Genomic DNA, 16,165 nt, shown 5'->3' with positions numbered 1-16,165 from the left:
TAGCAATCTCAGTAACATCTCCTTACCATATTAAAGATTAAAACGTGAATCAGCTTTGTAAATTCCCAGGAAAATAAGGACTCTAGTGCCATTTCTGATTTCCTGGGGTTCTCCTTTATGGACATAGTCATTTAGTTTTTGCTTTAACAGACCTTCCTTATTGTGGAGATGAATTATAAAAATTGTCTTCTACACTGTTCTTCTTCAATACAAATATGTTACCAAGAGTAAGTAACATTTACACATATAGAACTAATTATTAATCCCATATAGATTTATTAAGGAAAAAAATGTTTTATTTGCCTTTACTACAATCCTTCTCCCATCCTATTTGGCAAATAAACATTAATCACATAATCTTCTTTGAGCTATAGCTAACACAACTATGCTCACTCACTAGACCAAGTAATTGCTATATCCTTCCAACGGCTTCTTAGTGCTAAAGCTCATTATCTGTAGCTATGATAGCCACTAAAATATATGGACCAGAACAAGGACTAATGGTTACATGAAAGAAAAACCCATAAGTCTCATAGTTGAGGTAGTGGCAAGGAAGATCAATAACTATGAAAAGAATTATGAGAAACAATGATTCCATATCTGTGAGAAATATTACCACATGTATTATACTCCTGGGGATGAGAATTCAATTGTTTCTAAAATAAATTTTTCTTAGTTTTAAATTTTTCTTTCTTACTCCAGGTCATATTCATCCTAGAGGTTGTGTGATTCTTAGCTTATTCATGGGATCACTCAGAGACATTAAAACAATGGTGTGAACTTATTGGAACATTTCCCTCCTAATCTCACTGGAAAAGTATAAAGTTTTTAATGGCCTACTTATGGTTCTCAAAAATTTGATTTAGGGTGGGAAATATTGGACTAAACTACTTTTTTTGCAGTCAAAATCACATACCAAAAAGAAGATAGTCTCTGAAAATTGGGAGCTTAGGGTCCAAAAATAAAATGTAATCCAAATGTTTACTAAGAGACTAGGCAGAGACAATATTCTCAGCCCACCCCACCCACTCACACTTCCACCAAAAGGAGATTCTCAATGAGACAGTTGCAAATGTTGATAGGACTAAGACTCATTAAAATAGGTGATCCTTGCAAGAACAAAGTTAAAATAAAGCAGCTAAAGTAAAAATCAAGGGGGCACTCAAGAATGACCTGGTCTTTTCCCCACAAATATGACTCCTCTCAAGTCCAGCTGTTTGATTTTGTTGACTTTGAAGACAGTCATCAGAGGATGAGTAACACCAACCCTTCCAGTTCAAGGTTTCTGAATTCTTTCCCTTTGGTCTTCACTTCAGAGGCATCCAAGAACAATACACATCCCAATCATCCTCTGGGCTATAGAGCCAAATCTAGACAGTATTCCATTTCAGGAAATGAGCTTCTTTTCCTCTGCCTTTTGCTCCTGCTTAGGCATACTTACCCAATGGGAAGAGATGATCAAAACATTTACATATGTTTGCCCAGTGTTTTTCACAAAAGGAAAAATAATCTTCTTCATTAAATAAAAAAAGCAGCAAACTTAATGAGAGTAGGTTTTCCCTGTCATGGTCATTTTCCCTGGCTTCTGCAACAGAGCTGACACAGGTATTTCTGACATTGTCTAGGTCCATTAACATAGCTATTTGGTAAACTGAATCATAAGAATCAGGGCCAGCTAATTTTGCACAGAGTCAATTTTAGTCTTGTGCTAAATTCCCCATTACAAAACCATTGCCAAAAAATAATGTGATTTATCTTTCAGGAAAGACTCGGGGTGGCAGGGAAGTGTAATGAGGAAACGGAGAAGGGTTTATATGAGTCAATTTTTGGAAAAGTCTGAACAAATAATAATCAAGCTAATGGCAACTAGCAGGATACACCCTAATGATTCTGGACAAGTAATGCCTTAGAACAAACATAAATAGATTGAGTTTTAAGGTTTTAATGTTTAAGGATTGACCTTCTAAATTAAACACACATATACGTACACACACACACACACACATCCAGTTTTTTAAATTAGTCATAGAATAACAAGAATCAATACATACATAAGAGATAAAGGTGAATTAAAGAAAAAGAGAGAGGCTCAACTTGGTTGAAATAGATGTAGATGCTTATCCCAGATCTCTAACCACCTGTTTAATGTTAGAAAAGTTATAAACTCTTTATACTACAGATTTTCTCATTTAGCAATTTGGTTTAGGAGAAGCGACAGGCTTCAAAGTTAAGTCTTTGCCACGCCACTTAGTAGCAGAAACTTTGGGCAAATTATTTAACTTACTATTGCCTTAGATTCCTTCTATATAAGTGGAGATATTAAACTTTATTGATTGTCATGGAGGAATAAATGAGATAATACTTGAAAGGGCCTTCTATGAACTTAAAAGCATGCAATGAATATTAAGTATATATGAGTGTGTTAACATACTACATATTCATATATCAATGATGGAAATACAGTATAGTTTTGGCATAAACCTTTTAAAAGGCAATTTGAATAAAGAGTAATAAAATATTTCGTACCAGTTGATTTATACATTTACATACGGGAATCTATTCCAAGAAAATAATCCAGTTTGAACAAAACTTTATTCATAAATGTGCATTACTTACAGTAGCCAGACAATTGGGCTAAGCCCTAATGTGCAATGGCAGGAGAACAGTACACCTGTATGATAGTAATTACACAATCTTTAAAATCTCGTGTTTTTAATAAACGTTAATTGGCATGAAAACGGAGATCGTAAAATTGTAAACACATTAGGATACAATTTACAACTCATGCATGATTTTGTGTGTGTATGCACACATACACACTCTCCAACAATGGAAGAAAGTATCTCAAATTATGGACAGTTTGGTTTTCTTTATGTGATATAGATTTATGGGTGACTTTTATTTATAGTAATTCATGAGTTACTTTTTAGAAAACTTGGATTACTTATTCACAGAAGAAATGTTACATAAAACATTGTAAATTTTCAATTTTATAATCTGTTAGGCAGTGAGGGGTCCGCTTTCCTCACCTTTGAAGGCCCAAGTAAGGAAATAAGTGAGAAAGAGCTTTGAGTAGGTAATAGGGAGCTACTGTTTCCTCCATTTATGTTTCCTTCATTTTTATTCCAGTCAGTGGTGTGGAGATTGCATGATTTGGAAAATGGTCTCTTTGTAGCTCAGTGTTTGTAAGCTATGGGCTGCAAATACAAATATACATCAATCACTGTGAGTTGACTGAATAAATTATATGTATTGTACATGTATGGGAAACTAATTTTTTCAAATACATTTACATGCAATTGTGGTTAATAAACTACAAGTCCATTTAAAATGGTTATCAAATTCATGGCAGAATTTTTAAAAATCAGAATGTATTCCAATAACATGACCAGGTGGAGTGTGTTTCCCCACCTAGCAATTGCAGCAGTCCCGTTTATCAGCGGGGGATACGTTTCACGACCCTTGGTGTATGCCTAAAACCATGGATGGTACCAAGCCCCATATATATTAAGCACAAATTTCTCTTTCTTCTTCAAAATTTCACACATAGAAGACTTCATTCTCGTGTAGATCATAGCAACCTCAGCATACATTTTTTCCCCCTATGTTGAGAACTTTTACATTTTTACACAAGGAATGCACCTTATGGCTTCTCTCTGGCATATCCAAATTGCCAGCATCACTACCCTTGCACTTTGGGGCTATCATGAAGTAAAATAAAGGTTACTTGAAACAAGCACAGCAATACTATGTCAGTCAGTTTGATAATGGAGAAGGCTACTAAGTGACTCACATGCAGAGGAGCATCAACAGTATGGAGATGCTAGACAAAGGGACGATTCACATCCAGGATGGGATGGAATGTGACAGCGAGATTTTGTCATGTTTCTCATAATTTAAAACCTATTAATTATTTCTGAAATTTTCTATTTAATATTTTTAGGTTGCTGTTGACTCCGGGTAACTAAAACCACAAAAAGTAAAACCATGAATAAGGTAGGACTATTGTATCTAACTGGGTGTCCTGCAATTCAATTCAATTCTGACACTAACTGAGGTTAGTGGAGACCCCACAGGTTAAGGACTTGACCCCATGCAACTGTCTTCCACTTCAGAAGCAAACCACAAGGAGTAGGTTGCCAGGTTATCCACGTCTGCTGACTTGGCTACAAATTAGAGGTTCCTATGACCCCCTTCTCAGGTTTGATTTGCTAGAATGGCTCAAAGAACCCAGGGAAACAATTTTACTTACCAGTGCTGATTTATTACAAGATTCTTTTTTGAGGATAGTATCATTAATTTAAGTTTTAATTTTTTTACTTTAATTTTTATCATATATATTTAAGGTACACATCATGATGTTTATATATATGTGTGTGTGTATATATATAATATATATATACACACACACATATATATGGAGTAAAATGATAACTATAGCCAAGCTAATTGACATATCCATCACTTCATGTTTTCTCTTGTTGTGGATAAGACAAGCCCAAATCCATTCTCTTAGCACATTTTCAGTATACAATACAGTATTGTTAACTACAGTCCTCATGCTGCTGCACATTAGATGTCTACATCTATTCATCCTGTATAACTGCAAGTGACCTACTCCTCCCTGTTTCCTCTGCTCCACCACTTGCTCCTGGTAATCACCATTCTATTCTCTGTTTCTATGCATTTGGTGTTTTTTTGTTGTTGTTGTTTTGGTTTGTTTTTTTTAAGATTCCACATAGAAATGAGATCATTCATGCAGTATTTTTCTTACGTCTGGCTTCTTTCATTTCATATAACCTCCTCCAGTTTTACCTATATTGTCACAAATAGTAGTATCTCTTTCTATTTTTTTTTAGACGAAGTCTCACTCTGTCACCCAGGCTGGAGTGCAGTAGCGCGATCTCGGCTCACTGCAACCTCTGCCTCCCGGGTTCAAGCGATTCTCCTGCTTCAGCCGCCTGAGTAGCTGGGACTACAGGTGCCCGCCACCATGCCCGACTAATTTTTGTATTTTAAACGGGGTTTCACCATGTTGTGCAGGAAGGTCTCGATCTCCTGACCTCATGATCTGCCTGCCTAGGCCTCCCAAAGTACTGGGATTACAGGTGTGAACCACCACGCCCAGCCCTCTTTCTCTTTTAAGATGGATGGATGGGTGGGTGGAGCCAAGATGGCTGAATAGAAACAGCTCCAGTCTACAGCTCCCAGCATGAGCGACACAGAAGACAGGTGATTTCTACATTTCCAACTGAGGTACCAGGTTCTTCTCACTGGGGAGTGTCAGCTAGTGGGTGCAGGACAGTGGGTGCAGTACACCGAGCATGAGCTGAAGCAGGGTGAGGCATCACCTCACCTGGAAAGTGCAAGGGGTCAGGGAATTCCCTTTCCTAGTCAAAGAAAGGGGTGACAGATGGCACCTGGAAAATCGGGTCACTCCCATCCTAATACTGCGCTTTTCCAATGGTCTTAGCAAACAGTACACCAGGAGATTATATCCAGCTCCTGGCTCGGGGGGGTCCTACGCCCATGGAGCCTCGCTCATTGCTAGCACAGCAGTCTGAGATCAAACTGAAAGGTGGCAGTGAGGCTGGGGGAGGGGCGCTCACCATTGCCGAGGCTTAAGTAGGTAAACAAAGTGGCCGGGAAGCTCAAACTAGGTGGCCCACTGCAGCTCAAGGAGGCCTGCCTGCCTGCCTCTCTAGACTCTGCCTCTGGGGGCAGGGCATAGCCAAACAAAAGGCAGCAGAAACCTCTGCAGACTTAAATGTCCCTGACTGACAACTTTGAAGAGAGCAGTGGTTCTCCCAGCACGCAGCTTGACATCTGAGAACGGACAGACTGCCTCCACAAGTGGGTCCCTAACCCCCAAGTAGCCTAACTGGGAGGCACCCCCCAGTAGGGGCAGACAGACACCTCACACGGCCAGGTACTCCTCTGAGACAAAACGTCCAGAGGAATGATCAGGCAGCAACATTTGCTGTTCACCAATATCCACTGTTCTGCAGCCTCTGCTGCTGATACCCAGGCAAACGGGGTCTGGAGTGGACCTCCAGTAAACTCCAACAGACCTGCAGCTGAGGGTCCTGACTGTTAGAAGGAAAACTAACAAACAGAAAGGACATCCACACCAAAAACCCATCTGTACATCACCATCCTCAAAGACCAAAGGTAGATAAAACCACAAAGATGGAGAAAAAACACAGCAGAAAAACTGGAAACTGTAAAAATCAGAGGGCCTCCATCCTCCAAAGTAATAGAGCTCCTCGCCAGCAACGGAACAAAGCTGGATGGAGAATGCCTTTGACGAGTTGAGAGAAGAAGGCTTCAGACAATCAAACTACTCTGAGCTAAAGGAAGAAGTTTGAACCCATGGCAAATAAGTTAAAAACCTTGAAAAAAATTAGACGAATGGCTAACTAGAAAAACCAATGCAGAGAAGTCCTTAAAGGATCTGATGGAGCTGAAAACCACGGCACGAGAACTATGTGACAAATGCACAAACCTCAGTAGCTGATTCGATCAATTGGAAGAAAGGGTATCAGTGATGGAAGATCAAATGAATGAAATGAAGCAAGAAGAGAAGTTTAGAGAAAAAAGAATAAAAAGAAACGAACAAAGCCTCCAAGAAATATGGGACTATGTGAAAAGACCAAATCTACGTCTGACTGGTGTACCTGAAAGTGACGGGGAGAATGGAACCAAGTTGGAAAACACTCTGCAGGATATTATGCAGGAGAACTTCCCCAATCTAGCAAGGCAAGCCAACATTCAAACTCAGGAAATACAGAGAACGCCACAAAGATACTCTTCAAGAAGAGCAACTCCAAGACACATAATTGTCAGATTCACCAAAGTAGAAATGAAGGAAAAAATGTTAAGGGCAGCCAGAGAGAAAGGTCAGGTTACCCACAAAGGGAAGCCCATCAGACTAACAGCTGATCTCTCGGCAGAAACTCTACAAGCCAGAAGAGAGTGGGGGCCAATATTCAACATTCTTAAAGGAAAGAATTTTCAACCCAGAATTTCATATCCAGCCAAACTAAGCTTCATAAGTGAAGGAGAAATAAAATACTTTACAGACAAGCAAATGCTGAGAGATTTTGTCACCACCCTGCCCTAAAAGAGCTCCTAAAGGAAGCACTAAACATGGAAAGGAACAACCGGTAACAGCCACTGCAAAAACATGCCAAATTGTGAAGACTATCGATGTTAGGAATAAACTGCATCAACTAACCAGCAAAATAACCAGCTAACATCATAATGACAGGATCAAATTCACACATAACAATATTGACCTTAAATGCAAATGGGCTAAATGCTCCAATTAAAAGGCACAGACTGGCAAATAGGATAAAGAGTCAAGACCCATCAGTGTGCTATACTCAGGAAACCCATCTCATGTGCAGAGACACACATAGGCTCAAAATAAAGGGATGGAGGAAGATCTACCAAGCAAATGGAAAACAAAAAAAGGCAGGGGTTGCAATCCTAGTCTCTGATAAAACAGACTTTAAACCAACAAAATCAAAAGAGACAAAGAAGGCCATTACATAATGGTAAAGGGATCAATTTAAGAAGAAGAGCTAACTATCCTAAATATATAGGCACCCAACACAGGAGCACCCAGATTCATAAAGCAAGTCCTTAGAGACCTATAAAGAGACTTAGACTCCCACACAATAATAATGGGAGACTTTAACACCCCACTGTCAACATTAGACAGATCAATGAGACAGAAAGTTAACAAGAATATTCAGGAATTGAACTCAGATCTGCACCAAGCAGACCTAATAGACATCTACAGAACTCTCCACCCCAAATCAACAGAATATACATTCTTTTCAGCACCACACCACACCTATTCCAAAATTGACCACATAGTTGGAAGTAAAGCACTCCTCAGCAAATGTAAAAGAACAGAAATTATAACAAACTGTCTCTCAGACCACAGTGCAATCAAACTAGAACTCAGGATTAAGAGACTCACTCAAATCCGCTCAACTACATGGAAACTGAACAACCTGCTCCTGAATGACTACTGGTTACATAACGAAATGAAGGCAGAAATAAAGATGTTCTTTGAAACCAACGAGAACAAAGACACAATATACCAGAATCTCTGGGACACATTCAAAGCAGTGTGTAAAGAGAAATTTATAGCACTAAATGTCCACAAGGGAAAGCAGGAAAGATCTAAAATTGACACCCTAACATCACAATTAAAAGAACTAGAGAAGCAAGAGCAAACACATTCAAAAGCTAGCAGAAGGCAAGAAATAACTAAAATCAGAGCAGAACTGAAGGAAATAGAGACACAAAAAAACCTTCAAAAAATCAATGAATCCAAGAGCTGGTTTTTTCAAAAGATCAACAAAGTTGATAGACTGCTAGCAAGACTAATAAAGAAGAAAAGAGAGAAGAATCAAATAGACGCAATAAAAAATGATAAAGGGGATATCACCACCGATCCCACAGAAATACAAACTACCATCAGAGAATACTATAAATATCTCTACGCAAATAAACTAGAAAATCTAGAAGAAATGGATACATTCCTCGACACATACACCCTCCCAAGACTAAACCAGGAAGAAGCTGAATCTCTGAATAGACCAATAACAGGCTCTGAAATTGAGGCAATAATTAATAGCTTACCAACCAAAAAAAGTCCAGGACCAGATGGATTCACAGCCAAATTCTACCAGAGGTACAAGGAGGAGCTGGTACCATTCCTTCTGAAACTATTCCAATCACCAGAAAAAGAGGGAATCCTCCCTAACTCATTTTATGAGGCCAGCATCATCCTGATACCAAAGCCTGGCAGAGACACAACCAAAAAAAAGAATTTTAGACCAATATCCCTGATGAACATCGATGCAAAAATCCTCAATAAAATACTGGCAAACCAAATCCAGCAGCACATCAAAAAGCTTATCCACCATGATCAAGTGGGCTTCATCCCTGGGATGCAAGGCTGGTTCAACATATGCAAATCAATAAACGTAATCCAGCATATAAACAGAACCAAAGACAAAAACCACATGATTATCTCAACAGATGCAGAAAAGGCCTTCGACAAAATTCAACAACACTTCATGCTAAAAACTCTCAATAAATTAGGTATTGATGGGATGTATCTCAAAATAATAAGAGCTATCTATGACAAACCCACAGCCAATATCATACTGAATGGGCAAAAACTGGAAGCATTCCCTTTGAAAACTGGCACAAGACAGGGATGCCCTCTCTCACCACTTCTATTCAACATAGTGTTGGAAGTTCTGGCCAGGGCAATCAGGCAGGAGAAGGAAATAAAGGGTATTCAATTAGGAAAAGAGGAAGTCAAATTGTCCCTGTTTGCAGACGACATGATTGTATACCTAGAAAACCCCATCCTCTCAGCCCAAAATCTCCTTAAGCTGATAAGCAACTTCAGCAAAGTCTCAGGATACAAAATCAATGTGCAAAAATCACAAGCATTCTTATACACCAATAACAGACAAACAGCCAAATCATGAGTGAACTCCCATTCACAATTGCTTCAAAGAGAATAAAATACCTAGGAATCCAACTTACAAGGGATGTGAAGGACCTCTTCAAGGAGAACTACAAACCACTGCTCAATGAAATAAAAGAGGATACAAACAAATGGAAGAACATTCCATGCTCATGGGTAGGAAGAATCAATATCGTGAAAATGGCCATACTGCCCAAGGTAATTTATAGATTCAATGCCATCCCCATCAAGCTACCAATGAATTTCTTCACAGAATTGGAAAAAACTACTTTAAAGTTCATAGGGAATCAAAAAAGAGCCCGCATTTCCAAGTCAATACTAAGCCAAAAGAACAAAGCTGGCGGCATCATGCTACCTGACTTCAAACTATACTACAAGGCTACAGTAACCAAAACAGCATGGTACTGGTACCAAAACAGAGATATAGACCAATGGAACAGAACAGAGCCCTCAGAAATAATGCCACATATCTACAACTATCTGATCTTTGACAAACCTGACAAAAACAAGAAATGGGGAAAGGATTCCCTATTTAATAAATGGTGCTGGGAAAACTGGCTAGCCATATGTAGAAAGAAGAAACTGGATACCTTCCTTACACCTTATACAAAAATTAATTCAAGATGGATTAAAGACTTAAATGTTAGACCTAAAACCATAAAAACTCTAGAAGAAAACCTTGGCAATACCATTCAGGACATAGGCATGGGCAAGGACTTCATGTCTAAAACACCAAAAGCAATGGTAACAAAAGCCAAAATTGACAAATGGGATCTAATTAAACTAAAGAGATTCTGCACAGCAAAAGAAACCACCATCAGAGTGAACAGGCAACCTACAGAATGGGAGAACATTTTTGCAATCTACTCATCTGACAAAGGGCTAATATCCAGAATCTACAAGGAACTCAAACAAATTTACAAGAAAAAAACAACCCCATCAACAAGTGGGCAAAGGATATGAACAGACACTTCTCAAAAGAAGACATTTATGCAGCCAAAAGACACATGAAAAAATGCTCATCATCACTGGCCATCAGAGAAATGCAAATCAAAACCACCATGAGATACCATCTCACACCAGTTAGAATGGTGATCATTAAAAAGTTAGGGAACAACAGGTGCTGGAGAGGATGTAGAGAAATAGGAACACTTTTACACTGTTGGTGGGACTGTAAACTAGTTCAACCATTGTGGAAGTCAGTGTGGCAATTCCTCAGGGATCTAGAACTAGAAATACCATTTGATCCAGCCATCCCATTACTGTGTATATACCCAAAGGATTATAAATCATGCTGTTATAAAGACACATGCACATGTATGTTTATTGAGGCACTATTCACAATAGCAAAGACTTGGAACCAACCCAAATGGCCAACAATGATAGACTGGATTAAGAAAATGTGGCACATATACACCATGGAATACTATGCAGCCATGAAAAAGGATGATTTCATGTCCTTTGTAGGGACATGGATGAAGCTAGAAACCACCATTCTCAGCAAACTATCGCAAGGACAAAAAACCAAACACCACATGTTCTCACTCATAGGTGGGATTGAACAATGAGAACACATGGACACAGGAAGGGGAACATCACACACTGGGTCCTGTTGTGGGGTGGGGGGAGGGGGGAGGGATAGCATTAGGAGATATACCTAATGCTAAATAACGAGTTAATGGGTGCAGCACACCAACATGGCACATGTATACATATGTAACAAACCTGCACAGTGTGCACATGTACCCTAAAACTTAAAGTACAATAATGAAAAAAAAAGATGGATGGATGGATGGATGGATAGACAGACAGATACCATTTTCTTTATCCATTTATCTATTGATGAACACTTACGTTGTTTCCTTATCTTGGCTATTGTGAATAAAGCTGTGATGCACATCAGAGTGTAGAAATGTCTACAAGGTGTTGATTCCATTAATTTGGGGCATATAATCAGAAAAGGAACCACTGGGTCACAAGAGTTTTAATTTTGACTCTCACCAACACTTGCTATCTCTTGTCTTTTTGATAATAGCCATGCTAACAGATGTGAAACTATATCTCATTGTGGTTTTTATATTTATCTGATGATTACTGATGGTGAGCACCTTTTCATATACCTGTTGGATATTTTTATGTGTTCAGAAAAATGTCCAGATTTTTGCTCATTTTTTAAACTTTTTTTTTGCTATTGTGTGACTTCCTTATATATTTTGGGAGTTAATCTCTTATCAGATGTATAGTTTGCAAATATTGTCTCCCAAACCATAAGCTGTCTTTTTCTTTTGCTATTTGGAGAACCTTTTTAGTTTGATATAGTCCCACTTATTTATTTTTGTTTTTATTCACTGAGCTTTTGTTGTGAAATCCAAAAACTAATTGCCAAGGGCAATGTCAAGAAGCTTTTCCTCTGTATATTTTCTTCCAGGAATTTTTACAGTTTTAGATCTTATACTGAGGTTTTTAATACATTTTGATTTGATTTTTGTGTAGGATACCATTTAAGGATCCAGTGTCATTCTTTTCATGTACATACCCAATTTTCCCATTTCCACTTGTTGAATCCTTTCACCATTTTTGCTTTATTGGTGGTCTTGTCAAAATTTAGTTGATTGTATATGCTTGGGTTTATTACTGAGTTCTCTATTCTGTTTCATCAGTCTTTGTGTCTGTTATTTTTTACAAAGGATATTTTAAAGGATACCAATCAACAGCCAGATGAAGGCATATATAGGGCAAGGTTTGGAAAAGTCCTGAGTGTAGGAACTTCTGTGCCCATGTACTTAGGGGTACACAACCCTTCTGGTACATGGACGTATTCTTGTTCACCATCCTTGAAGCTCTCTAAACCCTGTAGTTCAATACTTTTTATGGCAGCTTCATCACATAGGCATGATTGATTATTAATTTAATCTCTAGCCCCTTTCTCCTTCATGAAGGATGGGAAGTGGGGTGCAAATTCCAAGCTTCTAATCATGCTTGGTCTTTCTGTTGATAACAGTTACTTCATTCGAAAAAAAAATAAGATGCTTATATCACCCAGAACACTCCAAGGAACTAGGTGCCCTGTCTCAGGAACTGGGAACAAAGACCAAAATATATATTTCTTATTCTAAATCACGATATCATACCAGGCTTCTATAAAAGGTAGCAAAACCTGCTCTTTTACAGCCTTTTTGCAAATGAAAGGAAAAGAGCCAAGCATTTCCCAAGTGTTTTTCAAAAGATTTTGGAAATTTACACATTTATGTGATATCTCCCCATTTTTATAATCAAATAAATCAAATATAAAACACTGTGTGGGCCAACTCTGGGAGAGCCAAACTAAACACCCTGAGGCCAGGTCCAGCTAGCAAGCTGCCAGTTTGCTACCTCTGGCTGAGGATGCAGAATGGGGACTTGCGTGTATCTGCTGTGGCGCCCCCTTGCTGCCACCCTGGCTGCTTTCAATACGCTTTCAATATGCTGCAGGTGGGTGCTGACAGCGCGTGTGCTGATTCCAAAGCTGTAGAAGGGGTCTGAGTAGGGCCACTTTCCTGAAAAGCCCTTTGACTAGGGCAGTCCTTCTCCTCGAACTGTATCCTTATTAAATGTGTTCTGTGCCAGCTCTGAAGGGGACAGGAAAGAATCAGTTGGATGGGGAAGGATAGGATTCTCCAGGCAGAAGTAGTGTCACGCCAATCTCTGTCCCCAGTAGCGGAAGTTTGGGCACTTCCTCAAACTTCCTGAACCTCCCAGCTTAGGTCTCTGTCCCATACAGGAAGGGAAACTTACCTTCCTTCTGATACGAAATAGGGAGCATGCCTACAGTTCGGGGACACAATGTTGTCCCCGAATGTGCAATGTTGTCATGAACAAAAGCACATGCAGGAGGTGGGCATGCCAAGGTTCTTGTACCACCATTAAGACAGAGCCTTTATAGGATCCAGTGCCATCTCCTGAGAAACCCCAAAACTACAATTACACAGCTGGGACCATTCATCACTGTACCCTTGAGAGCAAAAAGAGAATTTGAAATTATAGTTGAAATGGGCAGAAAACTACTACTGTAAAATATTATTTCCAGAAATCCCAAATTGTCATAATTTGGCTTTCAACCTAAAAAGGGAAAAAAACAAAAAATATAACATCCCATGGCTTCAAAATTTCCTGCTACATTCCAGATGCCTCACAATGAAAAGAAAAAAATATATACACTTATATATATGTATATATACACACACACACACACTCACACTCTTTGGATTTGGATAACAGTGGCCTAGCTGATCTTGGCTTTCCTGACAGTTCATTAGAATACACTTTTCAAAATCCATATTAATATGCTAAATGGAACTTTGTTAGACAGAAAATTCCACAAGCCCACCTGGTCCCAGAGGTAGGTGTCAACGTGATTAAATTTCCCCAGAAAATCTGTGGGCTTATCCAAGGGCACCAGCCAGAACACCTGGGCATTTCTGGCCATTCCTAACCCAACTGAAATCCTAGCTGCATTCTGTGGAACTCTATAGGTAAGTAAAGCTTGCTGAAAAATGAGAGTTTCTTTCTGTGGTTACATTTTGTGTGGGGTTTACAAGGGTATATTCATCTTAACACTTTCCTTAAGTACTGGGCATCTGTTACCTCAAGGTACGTGTACCTGAGCATACGCTTTGTGTGAGGTGCTACGTATTTGTTAGAGCTACAAAAAAGACTAATCCCTGTCTTTAAAGAGCTCACAATCTAAAGAGTCCATGTCTTTAAAGAGCTCCTTTCTGATCCCAAGTTTCCCCTTCAGTAAATGTGGGAGCTGGATTAATATTTCTGAACTCACTTTCTGGAATTCTACAATGTAGTTTCAAAGGATTTTATAGCCAGCTTCTCAATGGCACCTGCCTCCCTTTTTTCAGGTGAAATATGGAGCACAGAACACATGTTGCAGCCCTGCAGAACAAGCAGAAGAGGGTAGCATAGGTCCCAGCTCAGGGCTTTGGGTTGGCCTCCTGCAGCGAGGATGGAAGGGTTCAACCTTGCCAGATTTATCTGTGATCCATCCACCCCACCATCCTGGAATCATTCTGTGGGCCATCTTGCTCCCCTCACATGTTTTTATCTTGAGAGAATATTTCAAGTCGCTGACAGCCTATTACTTTTAGATTTGCTTTGCTGTTGCTATTTGTGTCACAGTTTCATTGGCCATTTTTGAGCATTACTTTAAGTAGGAAGGTCACTAGTACCTGTGTTGGTGAGTGAAAGAGAAAGGCTAAATACATGGCTAGGAAACAGTAAAGGAAGAGTTGGAAAGATTAGCTATATAGATATCAAGAGCAACTTTGCAGAGAAACACATCATAGTAGTGCTACAAGATACTAGAGAACAAAAATCACTTGTCTTCACTTTGCTTAATTTTATCTGTAATAAAAATGTTATTTTAAATAACTTACACAGCTGAAAAGAATTCTGGGGTCCTTTAAACCATATTTTACACTCAAGAGTACAATAATAGAATTTTCCCACATGTAATATGCCCAAGTTTGGGGAGAGGCAGATCAAGATGTAATAGAAAGCTCCACAGATCACCCCCCACACAAGTACACCAAGTTAAGAACTATCTACACAGAAAAAAAACACATTCATAAGAACCAAAAATCAGGTGAGCACTCACAGTACCTGGTTTTAACTTCATATCACTGAAAGAGGCACTGAAGAAACAGGAAAACATTCCTGGATCACCAACTCCGCTCCCCGACCCCAGCAGTGGTGGTGTGGTGCAGAGAGCATCTCTGGGCACTGGGAGAAAGAAGAACACAGCAATTGTGAGGCATTAAACTCAGCTGTGTCCTGTTAGAGCCAAAGGGAAAACCAGATCAAACTCAGCTGCGGACTGCCCACAGAGGGAGCATTTAAACCAGCCTCAGCCAGAGGGAAATTGCCAATTTCAAAGGTCTGAAATTGAGTGTCCACAAGCCTCACCACCTACGGCCAAAGTGCTCTTGGTCTCTAAGTAAACTTGAAAGGCGGTCTAAGCCATAAAGACTGCAACTCATAGGCTAGTCCTAGGGCTGAACTAGGCTGACAGACCGTGAACTGGGGGGCATGTGACATACTGAGGTACCAGCTGGGGCAGCCAAGGGAGTGATGACATCACTCCGGCCCTAATGCCAGGCTGCACAGCTCATGGCTCCAAAAGAGACCCCTTCCTTCTGCTTGAGGTGAGGAAAAGGAAGAGTGTCTTGCGTCTTTTGGGGTATACACCTAAAAGCAGAATTGCTGAGTGATATAGAAATTCTATGATTAATATTTAGAAGCACTACCAAAGTGTTTTCCAAAGTGGCTGCACCATTTTCCATTCCCACCAGCACTGTATGAGGATTCCAATTTCTCCACAATCTTGTCAACACCTGTATCTCATTTAATTTTTGTTTAATTTTCACACAACCCTGCTAGATACAACTTCTATTATTAGAGACCTTAGTAGTAGGCTGAATACGTTGTCACCTGCCCAAATTTCACAGTGCACTTAGGTATGTTAGAGTCAAGATTCAAAATAGAAGGAAAGCCTGATTTCTGGCACTTGGATTATAGCTCTCTCATACAAAAACTTTAATTTAGAAGATAGGTTTCATCTGAGTGGCCTGGGTTGGATCTGAGTCGTCCTCACTTTAC

General features: G+C 39.4%; 1 long non-coding RNA gene across 10 annotated transcripts in view; it reads right to left on the bottom strand.

The window, feature by feature from the left end:
- The window catches only part of LOC105373456 (uncharacterized), a 529,181-nt gene that overhangs the window by 385,859 nt on the left and 127,157 nt on the right, over nt 1-16,165 (bottom strand). For 6 of the 10 annotated variants that reach the window (XR_007086234.1, XR_001739304.3, XR_007086229.1 and 3 more), the window contains one exon: nt 15,170-15,289. The exons of 2 other annotated variants lie outside the window; for them this stretch is intronic. This is a non-coding gene — a long non-coding RNA (uncharacterized LOC105373456). Of the gene's footprint in view, nt 1-11,698; nt 15,290-16,165 lie in introns of those variants that run through there. 2 more of the 10 variants (XR_939776.3, XR_427002.4) reach the window with 2 other exon arrangements.

The sequence above is a fragment of the Homo sapiens genome, chromosome 2 (genome assembly GCF_000001405.40).
Source record: "Homo sapiens chromosome 2, GRCh38.p14 Primary Assembly".
Lineage (NCBI taxonomy): Eukaryota > Metazoa > Chordata > Mammalia > Primates > Hominidae > Homo > Homo sapiens.
This window is presented reverse-complemented; position numbering and strand designations above follow the sequence as displayed.